General features: G+C 35.6%; 1 protein-coding gene across 7 annotated transcripts in view; it reads right to left on the reverse strand.

The window, feature by feature from the left end:
* KHDRBS2 (KH RNA binding domain containing, signal transduction associated 2) overlaps positions 1-26,884 on the reverse strand; it is a 743,556-nt gene that overhangs the window by 336,157 nt on the left and 380,515 nt on the right. For all 7 annotated transcript variants that reach the window (NR_146870.2, NR_146873.3, NR_146874.3 and 4 more), the window contains exons 5-6: positions 22,418-22,545; positions 15,809-16,007 (exon numbers count right to left, since the gene is read on the reverse strand). Coding sequence is in view for 2 of the 7 variants with exons in the window: in NM_152688.4 (NP_689901.2) it covers positions 15,809-16,007; positions 22,418-22,545 (327 nt within the window). In the remaining 5 variants the exon portion in view is untranslated. The remainder of the gene's footprint in view (positions 1-15,808; positions 16,008-22,417; positions 22,546-26,884) is intronic.

Below are 26,884 nucleotides of genomic sequence, written 5' to 3' on the forward strand. Positions count from 1 at the left end.
CCTCTTCAAATCTGTTTGTAAAATGGGCATAATACCAATAAAAATATGGTTGCTGTAAAATTAAGTGCTGAAGGTAAAGAATTTTGCCTAGTTTGTAGATCATAATAACTCCTCAATTATATTAGTTGCTTCTATTATAATTTTCATTATTCCCATTGTTTTGTGTTGCTACTATTAATATTCTAGACTTCTAAAGAACTTGACTATACATCTAATTGCCCTAGTCTTTTCTATCCTGACTACTATAAAGTTGAAGATTATTGGTTGCTGCCCTTCTGCCAAATTCCTATGTACTTACTACATCAAATAGAAAGCAGTATATACCTACTTAGTTCTTCAGGCTTCCTGAGTAGAAGCAAGGCTAATAAAAAACCTTACAGATATATTTAGTTTAATGGGATTTCCAGCTGGTACTACTTCACACCCACTTTATGAAGTAAGTCAAGAAAATATCAGCATATATCTAACAATGAAGTCTGGAGTTCACTCTCACAAATTATATTCTGCCCTGTATCTGTAAGCTTTGTTTTTGTCCAGCTATCTTACCTGTTTCCTTTTTAAAGCCATGGACTCTGCCTTTTACATCTTTACATGCTGTTAGCTTTGAAGACAGACCTGTCTGGCTCTGTTTTCAGGCCTATGTCTGATATATCTATCTAATTATTAGACCCTAAAACTCCTTAATTAAAGAAACAAGAATTAAGCCTCTTAACTTTTATTATTGTGATATTAAAAACTAAAGCCCTAACATTTTTATCCTTCATTGCCTCTGCCTGTGGAAATTAGCATAACAGAGAATGGAGAGTCCATAAACATTAAAGTAAATTTAGTCAAATAGCTCAGTATCCTTTAACATACTAACATCTTAAAGTTGCTGCTAACTGTATGTACTATATAAATTTAGGACTTTTGTCTCTTGTTCATCCATTTTAAATTATTTTTGTCAAAATCTTATTTGAAAATGAAAAACATTAGTCAATAATAAGTTCATCTTTATCTTCTCATAATATTTATCTCATAACATTATATATCTTTATCTTCTCATAGTATTATATATTTATATATGTGAAAATTTGAAATGTTAGCCTTTAGGTAACAGGAAGAGATTGATGTTTTTAAACAAATAAGTGATAAGATAAATTTAGCATTGTAGGAAAATAAATCTGATTTAATATTTGAGACAAAGCAAAGAAAGAATCAAAATATAATTTTTAGATTTTTTGAGGCTCAACTAAGTTGAAGTAGGCAAATCAGGAGGAATTCTAAATTGGGATTGTTTGATGAAATCAGGTTCAGATGCATAGCATAAGAAGAGAGGTACTCCGAATGGAAAAGTACACACAAAATTGAAGACTCTCGAACAGATAAGACAATAGAGACAGTCAAGATTTAAGATAGTTTTGGAGATGAAAGCTGAAATTGTGGTGTTATAATAGCCCTGTAAAAACTTATAATAGAAAAAAATACAAAATATAGCTGGAGGAAAATTGTTAATTTGGGAGCAAATTTTAATGGAGGAGATTGCATTCTGGAAGGGAGAGGATTTGGTAGATTTATTTTAGGGGTAATATCTGCTGCCTAAGTGACATATGAAACAATCATATTCTGTTGTCTGGATCTTAAGTGTATATTTTATGTAAAAGAAAATCTCAAACAAAATCTAGATAGGAAATGAAATATATTTGTGCTTCATTATATTTACAGATCTCTGTGTGTAATTCTGTTCTGTACCAGATATTTTGCTTAAAACATTTTAATTTATTTGGAATATAAAACAGACACATTTTTTAAAGATCTGGTTTCAAATATATAAGGGATCAGTTCCTGCTTAATGAGTAAGGAGCTACTTTTTAACCAACTAAATCCCCAGAAATATCTCCTAAAATCTTTTCCTGCCTCCCAGTGTGTTTTCTGTCTTACAGTAAACTATACTCCTGTCTTCACAACTATAACTTCTTACTTTTGGGTGAAGTCTTAGAAAGAAGTGACAGAATATATGCAGGAAAGAATATTCTTACATGATTTCTATCAATCCTGTTTCCAAAAAGAAACTACTCTGATAAATAAAGGAAAACTAGGGTCCTTCATTTTGTTTATGCTGCTGACAAACATTTGCTTCCTTAGGAGTGTCATTAACTAAAAAATAAAAGGTAGAGGATGTGGCAGGGATTGTGTGCAGCTTCTAGATGGCCATTAAGTTTCAGAGGAGGAAAGATAAGAGGAGAAATTTGGGCCACAGAAACCTCGTGGGTATATGTACTTGACATAAGGGCTCAAACATTCTCATATATCATGCTCTCAGCTTACTCCCTGTAATTTTAGAAAATCCTGAACCTCAGATCCACATGGGTGCCAGATGACTGACCTGGAAGGCCCATGTTTAAGTGCATTTGTGCCTTTTCTTCTCTCCTTGCAATATCCATTGGAAAAAGAGTTGTAGGGAAAGTCAGCAAATCTATGATTGGCATTGCCAGTGGTGTGACTTTAGTCAGTTACTCTCCTAACCTTAATTTCTCCAACATTAAATTAAAATAATGAACTTGAAAAGACCTTTTTTTAATATTCAAAATGCATGATAGTCTTTTGCATTCAGGAGATTCTATATAAATTCTAGAGAGAGGTAGTGAGGTCCATTAGATTATGTTCAACTCTCTTTACAGATGTGGGACACACTGAAAGACCAAGGAAGAGACAGTGAGAAAATTCAACATCTCGACAGGCAGAGTACAGGGATTTCTGAAGTCACAAATGGCATCAGCACTAACTGTGACCACAAGAGATTCTGGTGCAGTGCAACCACCTGGCTTAGACATCTGCTTCAAGGACTTCAATAAGGAATCCTCCTAATCTCTAACTTAGTTGACTTAATTTGTCTAGTTGGGAACACCTGTAATGCTGAATTTCTACAATTCACCATTATGGAAGTGTTACAATATTAATAGTCAGTATGGCTAAGGCACCAACAAATTGAATCGGAGGTCTGACAACAACGGGTGCTCTGTACCGGTGCAGAACAGCAAAATATATTGGCTGGGGCACCAGTTACTATTTTGGTTGGTTATTTATTATTCTGCAAAGGCATATATTGTAGCTATATTATTTAATCCAAAAATATTGCAGTATAAATGGCCTCCAGAAATTACAACATGGGCTAAATTACAACAAAGGGCATCAGCTTTTATTTTCAAATAGTTTACAACATCCAGTACTACTGCACAAGAGGAAGAAAGTGAGAACATTAGAAGCAAAATATCTCTTGTTCTCTTTGATACACAATCTCTGTGATTCTTAACATGTGAGGTGTTCTCCCCCTATACCAAGAGTAGAAAAAAGTAGGAAAGGTTTCAGGCTTATTTGTAGATGTTGAGAAGAAGAAAGAAAAGATCACTTGAAATAACAAATTACTCATCCCCCAGCAACCTGAACCTTCTATCTGGCACTCACACCAGTTGTATCCGTACCTCTCCAACTCTGTTAGTATCCATGATAGTGTAAAATAAAAACTCACTTCATACGGGTGTTTATAAGTCAGAGGTACTGTTGAAGAATGAATGTGAATATGTGAAGAAAGATGAAAAAATAAAAAGCCCATCAGGATATTCTCCATTTGGTTTCTAAGCAATGCAGCCTATTCTCTATTTGGTTTCTAAGAAATATGAGGCAGAAGGAATAAACGAGGGTCCTTTCTGTGTCCTTCCTCTACCAAATTGATCAACAACATGGTTTCATATAAAGGAAAAGTGTGATTTTCCATCGTCAACAATGAAGAGAAATAGTCTTAACTCAAATCTTGAGATTATTACAAGTTATTGCAAAGAACATCTACAGCATCCCTAGTAAAAGCCTTTGGATCATAAGATATTATAGAAAATAATCACAAAGATCTGTTTCTGATAGAAGGATTTAGCAGCCTCTATTTTCCACTAAATAGGGAATCCATAACAGAAAAGGCCCAAAATGTGGAAAAGATCTCAATCCTCATTAACCATTCCTGTAAGGCTTTCTGCAAAGTCAGTGACAATCTTACTAAGCAGGCAATTTGTATTTACATTTTCCTTGCCAGAAAATTATAAGGGTGGTGCTGTCAAAACACAGCAATTAATGTTTTTCAACCAACAAAATCCAAAGTGAATTTTAGGATTCTTAGATATGATTTGTAACCCAATATAGGGTGTTAATTTTTCAGTGGGAGTATAATTGTCAAAACTATAATGAACTCAGAAGGAAAAACATGATTTAAAATTATTAATTTGTACCCAGCATAGCTTTTTAGGAATATACCCATAGAAATAAATCAAGGCTCAAATCACTTTCATTTTTAATCCTTAGGCCATGTGTATGATCAAAAGATAGAAAATAATATAGCCTAAAATATACAAATAATGTTTCAAAAAAAAGATAGAACTCCCTGAGGCTGAGATGGCAGTTTGTCATTTTTGCCACTGCTGTCCTCCCCGTGTCTACAGCACAAATTGCATAAAGATCACGGCATTTTTTACTCCAACAGAGCCTAGAGGAAACTTTAAAATACTTTATGATATAATACTTTACAGCAGCTAGAAGCCATCTCAAAATGGCACAGGGAGAAACCTATTTTCATCCTTGTAAGTGTTACAAAAGACATTAGTCATCATGTTAATTATAAAGTACAGGTTTGGATATAATTCTGAGTATTGTAGCCAATAGAAGAATCTGCATCTTTTCTAAAATGACTTAAAATTTAAATAACACTAGAAGAAGGATGGCTTATTCAAACTTCAACTGCAGAGAAGAATATACACAATTTTAAAAGGTGACATCTTACATAACTATGGGAAATAAATGTAATATTTTAACAGTATTTACATACCGCTACCTTTTTCCATTCTATGAATAGTTGAACCATAATAGTATTATGTCCGTCCTATAGTTTCACAATACATTTCATTAACCTTGCATGTTTTAGTTATTTTAAATATTAGTTACATTTCAAGAAACAAAACTCTGCAATGCATCCTGGTAAATTAGTCTCTAAAAAATGGGGACTAGAGCATGAAACTCAAACAAGAATGTTTAATGGAATACAAATATCCAGTCTAAAAACTCTAACAAAATCTGCTTTCTTTGGGTAAAGGCTCTTGGCTATTACACAAAAAGCCACACGTGGCTCCCCTCAAAATGCCTTACAGATCAGGCTCATAATCTTTCCTTGCACAAAAATGGCACAAGAATTGATTTCAATTATCATTTAATACCTATTTCCCTCTCCTGTCAAAAAATGTTCCATACACATGAAACTGAGGGTTGGCAGCCTGAACTCATTTATGGAACTTTTAAGGACTATTGATTTACCAGTGAATTTTCTAGTTCTCTCATTGTTACTGGAAGGATGCCTCAGAGTCTGAATTAGATGATAGGATAGGCTGGAATGCCGATAGGCTTACTTAAGGCTGATGAAAAGAGAAACTTCTCAAAAATTTGTCAAAATGCTTTTTATACATTAGGTTAGCATGATTGATTATGGAGTCAAAATTTCTCATGTCGTGCTGAACTGAATTTTAATTATATCTCTTCTTGCTTTGTTGTGTCCCGATACACCTCCTTGATGTCTGGGTGTTAACCCTTAGAGAAAATATGAAGTAATTTAAAAATAAATTAAACGTATGTCTTTAGAAACTGGAAACTGTTTTGTCTACCTGAAGTGTCTTTGTTTTTCTTTTTTATCTGCTTTTTTAAAAAGCTACACCAACATATGAGTTACAAGAGAGTGCTTACATAAGCAGATTTTTATGTTGTCAGCGTGTCTCCACAGGGTGAAATGTTCTGACAGACACTTCCAGAAGCTGTGTGCCTTTACCTGCACATAACAGTAACCTTTGTTACTGTTACACTATGTAACCTTTGTTAAAAGGACCGCATTTCCACAAGGAAATTAACAACACTAACTTGGTTCTAGCTAAGCACAGAACAGACTTTTAGTACCAGCAAGAAACTAAGGTTACACAGTCAGTTTTTTCTTTAAACAATCTCTCCCTGCTCTGTCCCCCCATAGAGATGTGTATTTTCCTATAAATGTTGCCATTATTTTCCTCTTCAGGGTGGGATGCAAAGTTTGTGGGGCCTCAAAATTATATAATTTTGCATTCCTTCTTTAAGAAAAAGATTTAAAAAATTATGTATCCATAGTTGGCAGGAAAGTGAATATTTATTTTGAATGAGAAAAGCAATAACAAACAACTGTAAATTTTCTAAACCTGAAAACACTATTAACATCACAAAATCTAGAAAACAATATAGAATTTCTGTTTTATTAGTCAACAAATCCCTATGCTTTTTGGAGGTCTACGTTTTGATCATCTTCTAATATGACAATGATTTTGATAATATTTTCTATAGACAGGAAACAAAATTAAGGATTTTTCTGTAGCTGGTTGATAGAAAAAAAAAAGAGTTGTTATGGATAGTTTTAAAAAGCGCATTTCTGTTTCACAACTCATTGATGGTTATGTTATAGCCATTGGCATTGTTCTGATATTTGGGGAAACTTCCGTCAAGTCTCTTTCATAGCTGAGCTGAATGATATGAAAGAGTTTTCCACAGAGCATATTCTGGCCCAATACAATTCAAATCTTATTTCTCCTCCACTAACCACATCCTTCCCGTATCAGTGTTGTAGTTCACAATGGAATAGCAGTAAAACCTCTATCTGTGAATACTTGTGTCACAACACTATGTGAGATGGTAGGAGTATTCCTGGAAATATTTATACAACAGAACAGTAGCAATATCTAAATAATGCAAACAAAATATTCCTCTAAACCCAAACTAAATGAATTTCTAACTAACTATTCTTCACAGATAGTCATGCCCACTCTACCACCATTTGACACAAAGGGCAGTGTGACAGGTGAGGATGTCACCTGGGGATTGCAGATAAAATACCTTACTTTTGCAACAAAGAGAGATGACCATGTAAACACATTTATAATCCCCTCCCACAGCCATGGAGGGAGCTTCTTTAGCATCAAAGTCACTCCTTCACTGTCCACCCCTCCCCACTATGGCCTTCCTTCCTGTGCCTCTTCCTTTACCCATTCCTGTGTACAAACATAACTTTGAGTGAGGCCTGCTTGCTTTTTCTTACTCCTCCCAAATGCATTTGCCATCAAACCCTATTGTTTTTACCTTCAGCTTTACCTTTGGCCTGAATACCTCCAATACCATCCCTGTTGTCATAGCTAGGGCCACATCTCAGTCAGTCTCACTATTGTTAATTCCCTAAATCTTCTTCCTTCATCCTCTTCTTTAATCCACCCTAGACAACTGAGAATTATAAAATTCCCCAAAACCTCAGGTTGCCTTCTGCTGTGAAATCTTCAGGTGGCATTTTATTATAAGTGAAGTTACAACCTCAGCCTTGAGGGTATACGTAACTCTTCTCTACTTTTCTCTCCATTATTTCCCTGCTATCTTAAACTATATTTCACCAAATTGTTCTTCCAGATTCTTTAGACTTGCTTTGAAAGTTTCCTTTTCTTGTCTTTGCTTTTACCATCCCTTCTGCATGGAGTTTTCTCCCTCTTCTCTCTGCTTCTAAATGTTATAACTATTATCCTGGTCTCCTTGCAGTCGTTTTTCTTACCCTCTTAGAGGTTTTCTAAAACAGCCATATAGCCATCTGTGATAATTCCCTTTCCTGGAGCATGCATAGTTTCTATTTGGTACTTATTATATGCTGTGTTCTACTGTCATTATATATATGTTTATATATGTGTTCGTGTGCATATGTATAACCTTTTCCCCCAAATATCATAAGTAGGTTCAATTCAAAGCACTTTACTTAGAACTGAAAAGATAAAGCAAATTTAAGAAACACTGCCTTTAGGATGTATAAAATCTTGTAAGTGAGATAACAGCAAATGACTTCTAATAGAGGGTAGAGTAAGATAAGAGCCCTATATAGCAAATACATATATGTTAATTGTTGGACTAATGCTATCTCTCCCACTAGATGGCATCCTTTTTAGAGTAGAGATAGTTTCTCTTTAACTACAGTTTTTATATTTCCAGCACTTAGTTTCTGGAGGTATTGAGTTCTCTGTAGTTGGAGGTCTTCATGCAGGTATAAATACTGGGAGATGTCCTAAGTATTGCTGAGGGGACTAAAACACTGGCTAGTGGTCTAGATGGGAGTATGAAGTACAAATGATCTGTGTGAAACTGTGTGAGTTCTTTGTGAGATAAGTACTCTACAGGATACCTTATGGTTCTTTACCGAGAGGAAACACAATGTATCAGATAGAGAATTTGTAGAGACAGAAAAGTGGATGCAATTCTCAGTTTCAAGCTTCAGTTTCTTTACCTACTAAAATAGTAAAATCTAAAACTAGTTGATAGTATTATCCTGAGATTAAGTGAGTTAATACACAGTGACTGGAACCTAGGAGGTATTCAAAAGTGTTAGTTTTAATTTATTCTCTTTTAACATATTATCCACTGGTAGAGCTGATAATGCTTAATATTTTGTCCTATGGGAGTTTTTGTTGAAATATTATTTTTGATTTTCCAAATCTACTTCAATCATGAAGATGGATCTGTAAAATGTAAATTTACTCGTCTTAGCAGAAGGTCAATGAAAAAAAGCTTTAAAATATTTAAAGTCTGGGTTACGATGTGTAACAAACTAAAATTCAAAATTTTTTAAGACTCAGCTAACACTAATGATGGGTTTAAACAGCATTCTCAATTACAGTAAGCTGTTTCTTGTCAGGCCAGCTGCAAGGAGTGGATTTGATTACTTAAATACATTCCATGTGGTCAGAAATTTAATGCTGAGGCTCAGCAGGGGAGAAAGAAGTCTGAAGAGTGAATTGACTCATAGAGGGATTTATAATAAAAGGAAGCTTTACTAAGAAATTTTATCTGAAAGTTAAGAACTCCTTTGAGATTTTCACCATCAACTCAACATGGTGCTATTATTTTGTTATTGAAACACTTAAACTTTTGTTTTTCTTACCCCTTGCAGAGGAATCAATAGTCTAAAATTAGAGCAGAGAGTAGCAGCTCTTGAGTGCTAATCTGGGTTGGGCACTAAGGATTTCAAAGATTGCAGCCAGCAGCCTATCAGTCACGTATTAAACCTTACTCATTAAATTGTTTTTAGAAACAAAAATAATGAAAATATAATACAAGACAGGTTTTCATAAAATATGCTATTAACAGTTTTTCAAAAATATATCTATATACTTTTTACTATTATCAATAGTATGTTCTCCTAGATACGTTTTGGGATGTCTGCCAAGCTCATAATACATTTTCCTCTCTAAAAATTAGTGTCTCCCCATATTGTCCTTGGGGCTGGGTCCCCAATAACTATGTTTATATTGTGCAAACTTCTCCCCTCCTCTACCTTTGCCATTGGTGGCTGATGAGTGGTAGATCCCAGACCTAATTTCAGTTGACTTCTTCCCTATGGTTAGAGGTGACCGATTAGTGCTAGACACCTGACAACCCTGGCTGAATGCCATTTTCCCACCTGGGGATATGGCACAGAACTGAGAGGCTAGTATCTGTTGGTGACTAGAGCTGAACATAAAAACATGGCAGCCCTGGGTGGAGGTATTGTACTATATGTAAGTCACATTTTCAGAGAAGCCAAAAAAATATCCAGTATGTAGATAAAACGGAAAGGAAACACATATGCAGAGAAAACAGAGATGAGATAGGAAGAGAGATTCCTTATAGTTTTCTAATTCCTTTTTTTTTTTTTTTTTTTGAGACGAGTCTCTCTCTGTCACCCAGGCTGGAGTGCAGTGGCGCGATCTCGGTTCCCTGCAAGCTCCGCCTCCCGGGTTCAAGTGATTCTCCTGCCTCAGCCTCCCGAGTAGCTGGAACTACAGGCGCCCGCCACCATGCCCAGCTAACTTTTCGCATTTTTAGTAGAGATGGGGTTTCACCGTGTTAACCAGGATGGTCTCAATCTCCTGACTTCGTGATCCACCCACCCCGGCCTCCCAAAGTTCTGGGATTGCAGGCATGAGCCACCGGGCCCGGCTGGTACAGACCTTTCTTAAGCCCAGATAGCATTCCTGGCATTCCTATGGCAGGATTTTATGAACCTATATTCATATGACACTTCCCCCAGAGCCAGCTTTTTAAAAATTTTACTAAATGAAGTTCAAAGTGCTTCTGCTTTTTGCAATCAATAATGCCTAAGTAACTCACAAAAAATAGATTATTAATATCTATGACTTCAAAGGGTCCATAACTTATCACAAGCAAAAATTAAGGAATATTATATATGATAAAATTTTATGTAATAGTTACCTTTTATTAACAACAATATTCTAGGTATTTATGCATGCTTATAAGTGCTTATGAATATTTATTTTTAATCTTCAATAGAGTCTTGAGAGGCTGAAACGATTATTCCCATTATATAGAAGAGATCCAAACCTCAAAGTGTTTGTAAAATTACACAGGTAGTGTCACAGTTAGAATTCAGACCTTGAGGTGCTGCTGTCTGTTTTGAAGTGCCACATCCTGTCCACCCAGTGACACTCAGGAATCTCAAACTGAACCTTCAACTTCCCTCGTGATATATTCATTTCAACAAACAGTGTCTCAATTTAACCCAGTCGTTCAGTCTAATCACCTTTACTTCATAAACACATTCCTTTACTCCTCTCTCTTTCACACATCCACGTATTTTCCATCATCAAATCTTAACAGATGATTTTTGCAGTACACTTAGAATTGAACCTCCTCTCATCCCCTCCATCATCCTGTCATGGGGTGGGTGGGGGGGCAATGCAACCAGTTAACAGTCTCCTTGTTTCCACTTTTGTGCCTACCTCCACCCGCATGTTCTATTATCCATGATGTAGGCAGATTAAACCTTTCAAAACATAAATCTAATCATGCCACTTTCCTCCTCTGCACGCTCCAACAGCACCATGAATTGGCCTGTCCACTGCCCCAATGTTATTTGCTACCTCTCCCTCACACATTCTGCTCCAGCTTTAATGTCCTCCTTGCTGATCCCCAAATATTTCAAACAGGTTCCACTTCAGGGCATTTATGCTTGCAGTTTCCTCTACCAGGGATATTGTTTACAGAAGCAGCCAATTGGCCAAGACCCTCAATTCATTTAAGCATTTGCTCAAACGTCTCCACTTCAGAGAGACCTTCCCTAACTGCCCATTTTCTGGAAGTGGACTCTCCTCACCTCTCTCCGGAGCACTTATCTCTACCTCATTAATTTTTATTCATTTGTTTACATATGTTTATTTTCTGTCTCTTCCCACTAAAATATAAGCTTTATGAAAGCAGACATTTGGTTTGATTTGTTCACAGATATGTCTCCAGGACCTTCAGAACACACCTAAAATAAGATGGAGGCTCAGTGAGTGACTGATTGAATAAATAAAAGCAAGTGGGTACTTTAAAATCTAAATAATAATTTCAGATTACCTAATATTTAATATTTTACTATTTTCTGTTATCTTTTCTAAGGAACATACTCACCTCTTAAATTTTCCCATTTAGAATATAACCCTTTTCACCCACATTTCCATAAACTCTTTATGCTTTTGTTGATTACTCTTGACTCATATTCTACTGATGTATTCACTATAAATTGGAACACACGAGAGGCTACAATTGTTTTGCCAGTCTTCTCTTTCACAGTCCCAAACATGCTGAGTAAATTCTTCTATTAATAACAATGCTAACTACTATTACCTGAAAAGTTTTTCTCTCTTCTTAATTTTTAAAAACTGATCTGTTTAAGCCTCTATTTGGAGGACAAAAACACCATAGTGACAACGTACATAAAGATTGTTGAGCTACACAGTTCCCCAAAGATAAAAAGTGATCCTACCACCCTTGTTGTGGATTTTTAATTCATTTAAACAAGTCCTTATTTTTCACATACTATGTCTCTGGCAAGAAATGGCAGAACCAGGGCTAGTCCCTGAGTTTTTTTTGAACCTTGTGGGTTTGTTTGCAGAGTAGAATATGATTTCTGTTTCTGGTTTTGCAATTTTAAGATTGTCTAAGGTTTTAAATATTGATAGTTGATGTAGTGAAGATACTTAGATGAACACATTTCACCTGTTCAAGTAGAAGTGGATTTTTACACTTAGTAACATTATTCCTAAAAGGAATACATGCTAAAAATTAATATACTCTTAGGATTAGCTATAAACTATGTTTACTTTATTTTATAGTTAAATTTTGATTATTAACCAGTCCATATGTTTTGAGTGCCCAGTATGTGACAGTAACTATATTTGAAGAGTTTACATTTAAATGAGCAATAATTTACATAAGACATTGAAGAGGACAGCATGTTTATGGATAGTTGAATGAAACAAATACCTAGATCAGGAGATGGACATGCTGGAGAGGTTAAAGGCAAAATAAATCATTTTCATAGTACAATGATCTGGCTTGCATCAGTTAAATTTAATATTTACAGAAGACCATGGTGGATAAGCTTTTTGATGTGCTGCTGGATTCCATTTGCCAGTATTTTACTGAGGATTTTTGCATCGATGTTCATCAGGGATATTGGTCTAAAATTCTCTTTTTTTGTTGTGTCTCTGCCAGGCTTTGGTATCAGGATGATGCTGGCCTCATAAAATGAGTTAGGAAGGATTCCCTCTTTTTCTACTGACTGGAATAGTTTCAGAAGGAATGGTACCAGCTCCTCCTTGTACCTCTGGTAAAATTCGGCTGTGAATCTGTCTGGTCCTGGACTGTTTTTGGGATGCAAGACTGGTTCAACATAAGCAAATCAATAAACATAACCCAGCATATAAACAGAACCAACGACAAAAACCACATGATTATCTCAATAGTTGCAGAAAAGGCCTGTGACAAAATTCAACAACACTTTACGCTAAAAACTCTCAATAAATTAGGTATTGATGGGATATATCTCAAAATAATAAGACCTGTCTATGACAAAACCACAGCCAATATCATACTGAATGGGCAAAAACTGGAAGTATTCCCTTTGAAAACTGGCACAAGACAGGGATGCCCTCTCTCACCACTCCTATTCAACATAGTGTTGGAAGTTCTGGCCAGGGCAGTCAGGAAGGAGAAGGAAATAAAGGGTATTCAATCATGAAAAAAGGAAGTCAAATTGTCCCTGTTTGCAGATGACATGATTGTATATCTAGAAAACCCCATTGTCTCAGTCCAAAATCTCCTTAAGCTAATAAGCAACTTCAGCAAAGTCTCAAGATACAAAATCAATGTGCAAAAATCACAAGCATTCGTATACACCAATAACAGACAAACAGAGAGCCAAATCATGAGTGAACTCCCATTCACAATTGCTTCAAAGAGAATAAAATACCTAGGAATCCAACTTACAAGGGATGTGAAGGACCTCTTCAAGGAGAACTACAAACCACTGCTCAATGAAATAAAAGAGGATACAAACAAATGGAAGAACATTCCATGCTCATGGGTAGGAAGACTCAATATCATGAAAATGGCCATACTGTCCAAGGTAATTTATAGATTCAATGCCATCCCCATCAAGCTACCAATGACTTTATTCACAGAATTGGAAAAAACTACTTTAAAGTTCATATGGAACCAAAAAAGAGCCTGCATTGCCAAGTCAATCCTAAGCCAAAAGAACAAAGCTGGATGCATCATGCTACCTGACTTCAAACTATACTACAAGGCTACAGTAACCAAAACAGCATGGTACTGGTACCAAAACAGAGATACAGACCAATGGAACAGAACAGAGTCCTAAGAAATAATGCCACATATCTACAACTATCTGATCTTTGACAAACCTGAGAAAAACAAGCAATGGGGAAAGGATTCCCTATTTAATAAATGGTGCTGGGAAAACTCGCTAGCCATATGTAGAAAGCTGAAACTGGATCCCTTCCTTACACCTTATACAAAAATTAATTCGAGATGGATTAAAGACTTAAATGTTAGACCTAATACCATAAAAACCCTAGAAGAAAACCTAGGCATTACCATTCAGGACATAGGCATGGGCAAGGACTTCATGTCTAAAACACCAAAAGCAATGGCAACAAAAGCCAAAATTGACAAATGGGACCTAATTAAACTAAAGAGCTTCTGCACAGCAAAAGAAACTACCATCAGAGTGAACAGGCAACTGACAGAATGGGAGAAAATTTTCACAACCTACTCATCTGACTAAGGGCTAATATCCAGAATCTACAATGAACTCCAACAAATTTACAAGAAAAAAACAACCCCATCAACAAGTGGGCAAAGGATATGAACAGACACTTCTCAAAAGAAGACATTTATGCAGCCAAAAGACACATGAAAAAATGCTCATCATCATTGGCCATCAAGGAAACGCAAATCAAAACCACAATGAGATACCATCTCACACCAGTTAGAATGGCAATCATTAAAAAGTCAGGAAACAACAGGTGCTGGAGAGGATGTGGAGAAGTAGGAACACTTTTACACTGTTGGTGCGACTGTAAACTAGTTCAACCATTGTGGAAGTTGGTGTGGCCATTCCTCAGGGATCTAGAACTAGAAATACCATTTGACCCAGCCATCCCATTACTGGGTATATACCCAAAGGGTTATAAAGTATGCTGCTATAAAGACACATGCACACGTATGTTTATTGCGACACTATTCACAATAGCAAAGACTTGGAACCAACCCAAATGTCCAACAATGATAGACTGGATTAAGAAAACGTGGCACATATACACCATGGAATACTATGCAGCCATAAAAAATGATGAGTTCATGTCCTTTGTAGGGACATGGATGAAGCTGGAAACCATCATTCTCAGCAAACTATCGCAAAGACAAAAAACCAAACACCGCATGTTCTCACTCATAGGTGGGAATTGAACAATGGGAACACATGGACACAGGAAGGGGAACATCACACACTGGGGCCTGTTGTGGGGTGAGGGGAGCGGGGAGGGATAGCATTAGGAGATATACCTAATGTAAATGATGAGTTAATGGGTGCAGCACACCAACATGGCATATGTAAACATATGTAACAAACCTGCACGTTGTGCACATGTACCCTAAAACTTAAAGTATAATAATAAAAAAAAAAACATTTACAGAAGACTTCCTATTGTTACACTATTAGTAAATTTTCCCTTTTTACATATTTCACAATCTAGTCGGAGAAATGGACACAAGGACCACAATGTAATTAGTGGAATACTGACAATCAGAACTAAAGGTTAAAAGATGTTTAGATACATAAGATGACCAAAAGATACAGTAGATAGGAAGGGAGGGGGATGCTTGGAAACACTGCATTTTGTCTATTCATTGTATATTTTTTTGAATTTTTTATGCCAATCCACATCTTTAATATGGTGAAAGAAAGAGTCAGGATATATAAATGAAAGACCAGCCACACGGTCTTACAATACTCCCAAAGTTTATAATATAATCATATTATATTTGTTAAATATTTCTGAGTTTTATGCTAATCTTTGTCAAGTTCCAGAAATCTCTGAATACATGGCAATTCACCTTTTGTTTATAATTATTTCTCATTTGAAATCTGATCAAACTTCCTAAGGATAAGTTTGGTTCTTAAAATACAAGCTCTTTAACTAGCACTAACAGTGATGACACCTGTAAAATGAAACCTTTTCTCAAAATGCTCTCATTTAAATGCACTGCTTAAATTCTGTTGTAAATGACATTCGTTTCTGCAACAAACATTACCTGCTATATTCACGGTATATGAACAGTTTGAGACGTAGCTTGTTAACTAATCAATTTAACTCATCCTTACAACTTATTTCTTAAGAGTACTTACATATTCTTCATAAGCTTCATGGGCTGGAGGAGGAGGTGCCCTGTATCCTGGCACTGTTGGTGCCCCCCGGGCTCGAGGGGTAGGGACACCTCTTGCTACAGGTGGCACTGGAAGCGCTCCACGGGTTACAGTGCTTCCCCGAGGGGTGAGAACACCTCGTCCAGGTGGTGGGGGAGGAGGAATGGCACCCCCACGGCCCCTAAGAGAAACAAGTCATGTATAGATGAGAAACAGGTGATGAGAGAAAAGGGCCTATCACAGAAAAAGTTTTCATCTCACAGCCTCCATACAATGAAATAAATACAAATTTCTCTCTCTCTCTCTGTGTGTGTGTGTGTGTATGCATTTAATAGAAATTATATAAGATATAAAGTGTGTTGATATCTATAGAAGACAATAATTGTAAACACTGACTATGATTAGTTCTTATAAAAACCATGTAAAATACTTTGTTATTGTCTTTTATATAACTAAAAACCCAAAGCCAGAAAAAAAAAAAAAACCCAAACAAAAACCCACTCTGAATATAACCCCATTAAATTCCAAATTCTCGAAGAAGACACAAATCAGAGCATCGTCTGATATATGACTCACTGGACCATCTCTGAAACTGAGCGGTTTCAGATGTCTGCATCTCCTTTATGCTGGGGATTACAGATAGTGATGGACAATGCTGTCATTTACCAAAAAAAAAGGTGGCTGCACTTAAATAAAATGTGGGAATCTAACCATAGTGATATCATTCTGTTTACTATAGCTGCTTAAGTTTGAGATTACTTGAAATCACAACTCTTTGTCACTGATTTATCATCATGCCTGTAACCCCCTGAACTGGTGCAGTCCCTGACAGAATATATTTTCTTAACCATAACTATGGTGTTAGAGGAATACTTTAGTATCTGTAATAAAAATAACAGACTGAATACTCTGTATTGCAGTTCTTGATACAAAATTGACTTGCACTAAAAGTGTAAGATCAAATGGTTGTGGCCAATTTTTATGGCATTTTGAAGCCTTTAGAATGGTTGAGTGTTTGTCTGAAGTCTTTGGGCAAAAGAACAGTTATTTCACTTTTTATTTTGTCTGAAAGGTTGGCCTCTAGATAGCACTGCTTTCAGTGGGAACACTAAAGCTTTGGGGAAAAAAATGATGATCATTGAGATGTCAACAATCACAGTATTTGGCTGTAGGCACATATGGGGACATAGGTTATGCTGTCTGCTATGAATAGCAGTCAGATGGCTCTTTCTTGCTTAAAATAAAAGTGAGCATTTATAAGTGAAGGGTACGAATGCTGGCAAAACCTTTAAAATTTTTAAATAGATTACAGAGCTGATGAATAGAGAAATGATGAGAGAATTTATTGTGAGTCTAATGTATAAAGAATACTCTCCTAGATTGGGAGAAGGTGAAACACAAAGACCCAGAGGCCCAGTGCTGGCTGCAAGTACAACATGGCTAAGAATACAGTATTCTGTATTACCATGATAATACATAAAGGGATGTAAAAACCAATTTTGCCTTCACTGCTCCTCCAAGCACATTTCTGTTTCCTCATAAGCAAGATGAGCATATGTCCAGGTTTTATAACTGTTGTCCTAGCTTCCTGTTCAGTTTAGCATTTTAACACTCTCAAAAATATCCATGTGTGGGCAATAAATTATATGGTCACCCTACTCTATTCACGAGCCTTCGCTATACCCTTGAATAGTCATGGGTAAGTATTATAACTACCTAGGCTTAAGATAGATATTTTTTTTTCTAATGAGTAAAATGCAGATTTCTAAATTTATAGTACTTCCTTCTGCTCTAATATTATATGATGCTCATATCAAATCTAATTTTCCATTTTCTTCCTTCATCAACTGACTACCAGACACAGCCCTAGCAAACCTGCCTCCTGAACCTGACTCATTACCTCTTATCCACTATGTTCTTTCCCTGGAATATTAACCTCATTGTTCTCTCCTCCAATTTAATTCAAATCACTTTTTTTAGGATACTGCCCCTGGCTAAAACCACACCACAGTATCCTGTCGTTTATTTGTCTGACTTGCTGAAAGAATATTTTCTGTTTAATTCTTTACTTCCTCTACATTCCTGAACTGAATGTTATCAGTCTAGTTCTTGCTTTCACCCCTCTGTTGAAAATGCTCTTGGCTGAGATCACCAGTAGCCTACTGATTTCCAAATCCACTAGATTTCTTTACAGTCTCCATGCCACAGCACCTTTCTACTATTTTTAAGATTGTGGACTATTATCTGGAAAATGTTTCTTTGGACTTTTATGACTCTGCTTTTCTCTACTTTTCCTCATTCCTCCTTATTCGTTATCCTCCTTCACTGGCTTGTATTCCTGGACCCACTTTGGAATCTGGATGTCCCCAGTTTCTATCCTCGATCTCATGGTTGCACCCTGCAATCCCTACCTCTGATGATGGCTATAATCTGTTTTCTTCCTAACATAATGCCATATCTTGGCTTGTGTTCCTTATATCAGAAGTTTCTTAACTTGCCTGCATGTTAAAGTTACTTGAGGATCTTTTGAAAATTCCAAATTCCAGGCCATACCCTAGGCCAATTAAACCACAATCTCTGGAGACAGGGAGCTCCCAGTGATTCCAAAATACAGGCCAATTTGGGAACCACTGCCTTAAATGAATACTCCAATTTAAGCATCTTGACAAGCTTGTCATGTGGGCAGTTCTAAGTTTTTTAAAAATACATTGAGATATTAAGGCATGGAGAGAACAAGTCACCTGCCCAAGGTCACACCAGCAATCCACAGAGCTCAGATTATTTACAAGAATAATTATATTCTTCATTTAATTTGATCCTTCACCTACTCTTAGTTAATGATATCATCAATTTCTCACCAGGCTAGACACCAAAAATTTATCTTTCTCTTGGGGAACTCTTCTTCTCCAACGTTTAATTGGCATTAATTCATATAAATGTTAATCTCTAATCTGGCCCTATCCCTGTCTATTCCAAATGCTGCTCATTTTTATCTGCCTTGGATGATGGAATTGTTTTCTCATTGGCTCCCCTGCCATAAGACGGTTTCTCTGTCTCTGTCTCTCTCTCTCTCTCTCTCTCTCAATCACTGTAACTCTTCTGCATCAACCACAGTGATAATTGAGTAGTCTTTCGCATAAACAAATATGACTACTCTCCTCTTTAACAAACTCTATTAGTTCTATGTATTCGTTCTCAACGTGGTAAACAAAAGCCTTCAAAATTTACCCCGATGTTTCGTTTTTCAGTGACTGCACTCACTGCAACATATAGTGGTGATGTGTGTTAGAGATGTCATATATTTTCATTCATCAATTATGCAAAATAAATTATTATTACAATATATAGATGTAATGCTTTGTTCTCTGGTATACATTATTATTGGAAAATTAGAGTTATCATAGATAGGATTATTGAAATGTAAATTGTTTTAATTAAATACACTTTCAACAAATTATAGAGCTTAAAATATTCTAGACATCATCTTTTTGAATATAAGTGTAATTAAATAACTTCATAAAGTAATAATTTCATAACAATTCAAATTAGGAATTGTTAACTCATGTTATGCAAAGTTCTCTTATTAATAAGATTTTCTATTTTGTAAAGCTATTTTCTTTTTTTTTGTGGGCATTTGGTATGACCAATCTTTAATTTTCAAGCAATAACAAATATATAGTATCGAGCACTTACTAAATATCCGATACAGTTGTAAATGTCTTTACATGTAATACATTTAATGTTTTATTGTAAGTCTCTAAGTGATTATTGTATTAATTAAATTGTAACATATAATTACATAACATATCCAAGGTCAACATTTTAACTTATTGTTTATCTCATTCATTATGAGATACACAATTATTTTATCTTAACACTATGAGAGAAAACACTGAGTTAAATTATGACTATGCCATGTATGTCAAGAAGACAATCACTTTGAGATGTCAAAATGTGAAAAACATGAATCCTTAAATTGATGAAATATAATAACATCTAGTAAGTGGGAGAACTAGGATTTAGAACCCAGGCATTCTCTTTCTAGAGCTTTTCTGCTTATTCATTCTACTATACTTTCATGCACAAAAGGGTTCAATCGATAAGAATTTACTTATTAAAAAATGCACAAGGTCAACACATATACCAACTATCATACTTACTTAATACTTTTAAGGGAGGTATTTAGGAGCAATAGGGAGGTGAAAAAATTGAGATGAAATGGAATTATGTGAAACAATATCTAACTCTTTTCTTGATTGAAAATTATTGGGTAATTAATGAATGCAGACACTTGATATGCATGAAATCAATATTTGTAGAGGGAATGATCAATTAGTTGTGACAAACCAAACTAACATAAAATGTTCATAAATCCCTTTTTACTTTCAGTTATTATTTTCTTTTATAACATTGATTTGTAAGGGAGAAAACATAACTTCTTACTAGATGTCCAAAAACAAAAGAAAACAAAACAAGAGCAAAGACCTTAAACATTCTTTCCCAAATTAAGGTTAGCATTCTAGTAATAAGAGTATTTCTACAATGTAATAATGTTCCTATTTACATATTCCATACTTTATATTGTATCAGAGATATTTCTCTTGAAATTTAAAAGGAAAAGAATATCTCTTATTCATTTTAAATTGTAGATACAGTTCAACATATTGTTTGAAACAGAAGACAACAAAATTCTGTTTCATTTCCTTTCGTTAATGCTAGCACCACTAATGATATCAGTACAGCATTGGAAGTGAAATTTAATTTTTAATGCTAATTTTCTTTTCTTTTTATGTATATAGTATCAGATCTGTATGTTATATGGGATTAAATAGTGAAATCTTTCAATCAAATTTTTCTTCTAAGAAGATATATTAAAATCCAGGCCATAAAGCACTATCCTGTTTTCAATTATTTAAATGGATTAAAATCTTAGAATAAGGTTTCTCTGAAATTAAAATCTTATATGGTCCACTCAAAAATGCCAGATGCAAAATTCTACTAACGGATATCCATAACAAAGCAAAATCTATTACTATGATGATTTCATAAAATCAAATGCAGATAAATTCATTGTTTTAATGCCCCCCCCCCGCATTTTAAGGCATACAAAATAGAAAAGTGTGTGCCCTCTCTAGGCATCCTAAATTTATACTTACGTTCAACCACATAAAGCTGTAAAATTGGCATTTGTTGAACTACAAAAGTTGCAATTTCATATGATTCAACTTATGATTAAATCCATTAAAGATGACTAGCAATGATGTCTTTTTTACCTCATCAAGATGAGATTAGAAATGTACACGGTTTTACAAAACAACCCATAAAAAAGTACAGTATTGTATTATGTCACATTAATTCTTAGCATAAACAAATGATCTTGAACAGCATTAGAGAGCTTATTTTTGATTTTTTAAAGATAAAATATAAATAAGCTCTAGAACACATTCAGAAGTTTTGCTTTTAGTGAAATAGAATTTCCAGAATTACCCCATTTTACCTCTAGTAAATAATATTCCTTGATATTTTATTTGAGAATTTATCTTTCTTAACTTTTTTTTCTGACCGGTGAGAAACATTTTGAGATATTTTTGATTTAAGTGTTACAAACAGTGGCTATGTTGATAGTGGTGGTTGAAAGTATTTGAGGTATAATTTAAGTAAACAAACTGAATCTGAAAAGTATCTTAGCATATCTTAAGATAATTTTATGTAATATATGAAATAATATTTAGATCTCTGTCCTTTAGAGATTTAAAAGCCAATTATAACAAGATGAAGAGAATGATTAAATCACATAGTTGTTCTCTGAAGGCTATGAGTATTTTTTATATTAACTCTTTTCAAACCAATGCCTTCTATTAAAAGCTTGAACAATTCAGAATCCTGCAAAACAAATTCTAATACAAAAAGATAGCAATTTCTTTGCAAAGTAAGCAAAATCAAATAAAATCCTCTCTGATCACCAAGAAGAGCTACAAATACCCTCTGAACTTTAAATATCCTTACCATCAGCCATGCAAGAAGTGTTCTGGCTTTCTGGGCTGATGGCATATATGTTATCTGTATCTATCTCTGTATCTCTATCTATCTACTTCCTTATCTGGGAAGACTATATCAATTCAAGAACCATTTAAAGCACAGAAAAAGTTTATAGTTTTCTCTTCATACAAGGGTATCTTGGTTTGAAGAGGTGAATAGTTGTATCATGCGTGTGTTCTAATCCTGAGGATAGAACAGTAAAGTAGAAAATCTCTGGTTTGCTGCCTTATTTTCTAGAGGTAGTTGTTAAAAGTATAAAATGTGAATTCTGGAGTCAGACTGTCTACGTGACCCCAGGTAAATTTCATACACCTTTCTCTACTTCAATTTCTCACCTGCAGATGCTATTTATCTCCTAGTATGGAGGATTTGGTGACTTAACATGTGTAAAGCTCTTCTGTGCCTGATAAGCTTTCATCGTTATTGTTTTTGCTGTGGTGGTAGTGATTGTGGCTGATGTTGTTGTTTACTGCTAGTGATAATCATGACATAAAGCAGGACAAAAAAGGCCTGCCATCATCCTTAATTTATTTAAAGTAAGAATGAATGTACCTTGAAGGAGCTGTGGGAGCTATTCTGATCCCTCTGCCTCTAATACCTCTGCCACGACCAGAGTCCTCTGAGCCATTTAAGTAAGATAATTCACGTAGTTGTTCCTGACGAATTTCATCATTGTAGTCCTGGAGAAAAAACATGATGTGATGAGTTAAAAATGGGACATGCCGTTCTCAGAGTTGGAAAAAAAAAAAAAGAAACAAAACAAAACGCAATAGGAAATAATTTTTTTCATTTGTTTCCTGGAACTTTATATGCAAAAATATAAAATGATATTAAAAAGTGTATATACTTTAAATTCCTATTTTTATATAGAGAAATTGAAATTGCTTCTTTTATCAAGAAAGTACTCAGCAGGACATCACATTAGATTTGCTGAGATATCACATGATGTGTTAGCTGGAAAAAGGAAGATAGCAACATAAAATGAGAACTTGGAATGTGCTAAAGTTATGATTGTTAATATGACGATTACTACAAAATAACTTCATTTGAATGAATGTGTGTAGAATATGGATGACTACATGATATTCAAATAGCTTCTGATGCATAAACAAAAAAGAGCAATCCCAAGGGCTCAGAGTAGATACTGAGCATGTATTACAACCATAAAGAAGTATGATAGTATGTCCCTGCTTCAGACAACAAGCAGCTGCAGAATCCAACTAAACAGTTTGATGTGAAATATTTATTTATTTATTTTCATTATTTATTTATTTATTTACTTTTTTGAGACACAGTCTCTGTCGCCCACGCTGGAGTACAGTGGCATGATCTTGGCTCACTGCCGCCTCCGCTTCCCGGGTTAAAGCAATTCTCCTATCTCAGCCTCTGGAGTAACTGGAATTACAGGCACACCACCATGCCCGGCTAATTTTTGTATTTTTGGTAGAGACAGGGTTTCGCCATGTTGGCTGGTCTCGAACTCCTGGTCTCAAATGATCCACCCACCTGGGCCTCCCAAAGTGCTGGGATTACAGGCATGAGCCATCGTGTCTGGCCGCAGTGTGAAATATTTAAACACAACAAATTTTCTATGAGTTCCAGTATTAGGCTAAGGGAAAGTGAGAGCCAGAGAAAAAGGTAAATTTCACAATAACAACCAGAGATTCAGTCAAAGTCAAAGGGACTTTTCCTTTATCAGGGTGGAAATACACCAGCCAATTCAAGAGGACCCAAGAGTGGAGCTGAATCATTACAGGTAAATGCTACCTTCAAAAAACAAGTGCCAGTATCACCTGTTTCTCTTTTTACTAATCAACACACACACACACACACACACTCTCACACACCCCTGGTTGAATAGTACAAAATTGAGTAACTGGTTATTTGTGCCAAATGGCCAATCTGATCAATTATTATTCTGGAAACATAGTTTAAGTGAAATCAATCTAGTGGCTCTTCTAGTGGTGAAGAGAGGGGTCCAGGAGTTAACACTATATTTGTAGAGGTTTGGCTAACAGATATGATGTTTGAGGCCTAGCAGTGAGACTAAAAATTAATATTATCATCTGCACCAAACGATGTCAACGTAGCTCTGCATATGTGTGGTATTGATGAAGACTGTGTAGGGTCACCCACACACCTCTGTCTAGAAAATGGCAGGGAAGCATTCAGCCTACAAGGATTTCTTTGGCACAGCTTTACCTCATGCTCTAGAAACTGCCTTGATTACAAGCAAAAAGCCCTAAAGCATTTCACTTAATTTTATTTTTAGCATGTTGCTTTCATGTTTATATTCTTCAGCACCTGATTATAGTGATAATAGCCTCAACACAGTTAGCTGACAAAAGAGACATAGAGTAGAAAATTATAGTTTCTAACAAGCCATATATTATTCAATTTCTACCTCATAATTTTCTCATTCAAACAACTAAACTTAAGAATAAACATGTCTATTATTTTATTAGAATCAGGAAATATAATGAATTGCCACTACTGAGTGAACTGACCAGGTACTATCAAAATGAAACATTAATCCCATAATTTTGCAATGTAATGTTTTCCAGTTTCAAAGGGGATCTTTGCAGCTTCTTCTCTGAGGAAAACACATGGATACTCGGGGTGCTTATGAGTTGTAGGAAGAGATGGATTGTCATTGTTGGCAAGACTGAGGGTTAGAATAAACATTTTAACAAATTGCAATTGAATTCAACATATATAGAAGTGTACCTTAGAGCATAAATATTTTTTACACCAGAATCAGAAAATATAAGAATGTAGATATGATCTTATTCATTTTATAATAATAAGATGAAGAAGAAGAATGAGGAATAGGAGGAAAAGGATGAAGTCAAGGAGGCTGGGGAAGAGAGAGAGGAAGAGCAACATATTAATCAGATGGTGTCACAGACTAAGCCAATTTGTTCAGGATTCCCTGCATCCATATCCTTAGATAGTTTCCACCACACTGACTCTGAGATTTGCCATGTGATTTGCCTTAGCTAAAACATCATGAAAAGAAGCAGAGATTAGAAAAGTGCTTGTGTATTGGAGCTCTCCTTTTCTTCTTACTGGAAACCCTTATGCCACCTGGTGAAGAAGGCTAGGCTAGCTTTCTGAAGGATGAGAGGTAACGTGAAGAAAGGCTCCAGTCATCCCTGCTCTCCCTGCCATCATGTCCGAGCACCCAAACATAACAGTGAGGATTGAATCTCCAGATATCCTAAGCCATCCTGTCCCAGTCAAGCTGGTGCAGTCAGAAAAATCACCTGGCCAACCCCAGAATCTGGAGAAATAGATAATAAATCGCTGCTTTATGCTAGTAAGTATTGCGGTGGTTTGTTTTGTGCAAAAGCTAACAAATACAGAGGGGACCAGTCAGCATGGTACATGAGAGATATATTTCAGGAGCGTACTTCAGCAGCCTCTCTCCAGCCCTGCCTAGAGGGGGAGTTCTTGGGTCCATGTGTGATCTGAATGTTTCTTGGAGCAGGTGTAGCCTTAGTTGGAGGTGAATATATCCGAATGTCATATCTGGTGTCACTACAGTTTGAATTGCCCATTTAAATCTTTGCTCAGAGTCCATGCTCACCAATTCAACTGCATTGGAGTTCAGCTCCTAGACAGAAATCTACTAACATGGAGGGGATTTCTTATTCTTATTAATATGAATATTTGACACTGCAGGTTAATTAGTAGTGTAAGCAAAGCAACTAATATAATGTAACCAAATTTCTTATGAGCTTAGCTAGAGGGCTATACTTTGAGAAATAAATCACCTGTGAGAGTTGTGGTGGCCAAGAGAATACAGACCAGCAACTACAGATGTAATTGACCAAAGACTTCAGTTGCTGTGCTCTAAAATCCTATTGCTTCCAAGGCTATGCTACCCAAAAGCTTCTCCCAGCTGATAACCAAATGTAGTTAAATGCTAACACAGATCCATTCCTGGCCACACAGGATTCCTCTAACTATGCCTCTGGGGATTCCTTAATAGCACTGCTGAACTTACCTTATAACTTCATTGCACCAGGGCAATCCGTAAGGATTCCACCGCTCTTTCCTCGAGGTCAGACATTGTAGGGTGAGGGGTCTCCAGCCTTCCTTGGCTCCTTCTTTTTTTGTCACAAGAAGATTTTCCTAACATAACTCTTATATGTTCAATCCCATTATTACATCTGCTTCTTGGAGGACCCAAACTAATATATAGGCTGCTGATAAAATCAAGTTCCTAAGATCACAAGGCTGAGAGCTTTGGTAAATCCATTCATGATAATGATAGTTGAGCCTATCCCATTCAACATACTTTATACTATGTATGATTAAATTGGACTGCTTGTTACTCTTTTACTTTAAAGTGGTTAGAGAATGGTTAAACATGAAACTGATTACTGACGACCAAAAAGGATAGCAATGAGTATTTTTAAGAAAATAAATTGTATGTTGCCCAATTTTTTCAATACTTTACTTAATAAGAAAATAACAAAGACTCATGAAGATGGGCAAACACAAACCATATTTTGAGCCAGAGATTGGAACAAATTGGCTGACACAGAGAAATTGTGGCAATAATGAAAAGACTAGTGCATTCATGTGTGTAGTAGGGTATGAGAGAGAGAGAATATGGGCAATCACAGGCCACGTAAGAGTGCTCTAGTAGAAAATATATGGTATGAATGGGAAAGGTAGAAACAAATGAAGTTTCTAGGTGCAGAAATAGCTAGACGTATAATGACTCATTAGCCAGAGAAAAAGAGGAATGAAAAAAAAAAATTGAAGGTGGAGCATTCATATTTGATTCGAATAACCTTACGTTTAAAATGTCAGAGAGACCTTCAGGCTTATCTTAGAAATTCAGATCTGGGTTAAAGGAGTATATTTGAGTGTCAACTACACATACTTGTGATAACTGAAGGATGAAGACTGTAAGAAAACAGTAAAATTATGTATAGAGACAGAACTTTTCTAATCATAATTTTAATGCAAATTTATATCACAGAAAATAGTTGATTTATCATTTGC

The sequence above is a fragment of the Homo sapiens genome, chromosome 6 (assembly GCF_000001405.40).
Source record: "Homo sapiens chromosome 6, GRCh38.p14 Primary Assembly".
NCBI lineage: Eukaryota > Metazoa > Chordata > Mammalia > Primates > Hominidae > Homo > Homo sapiens.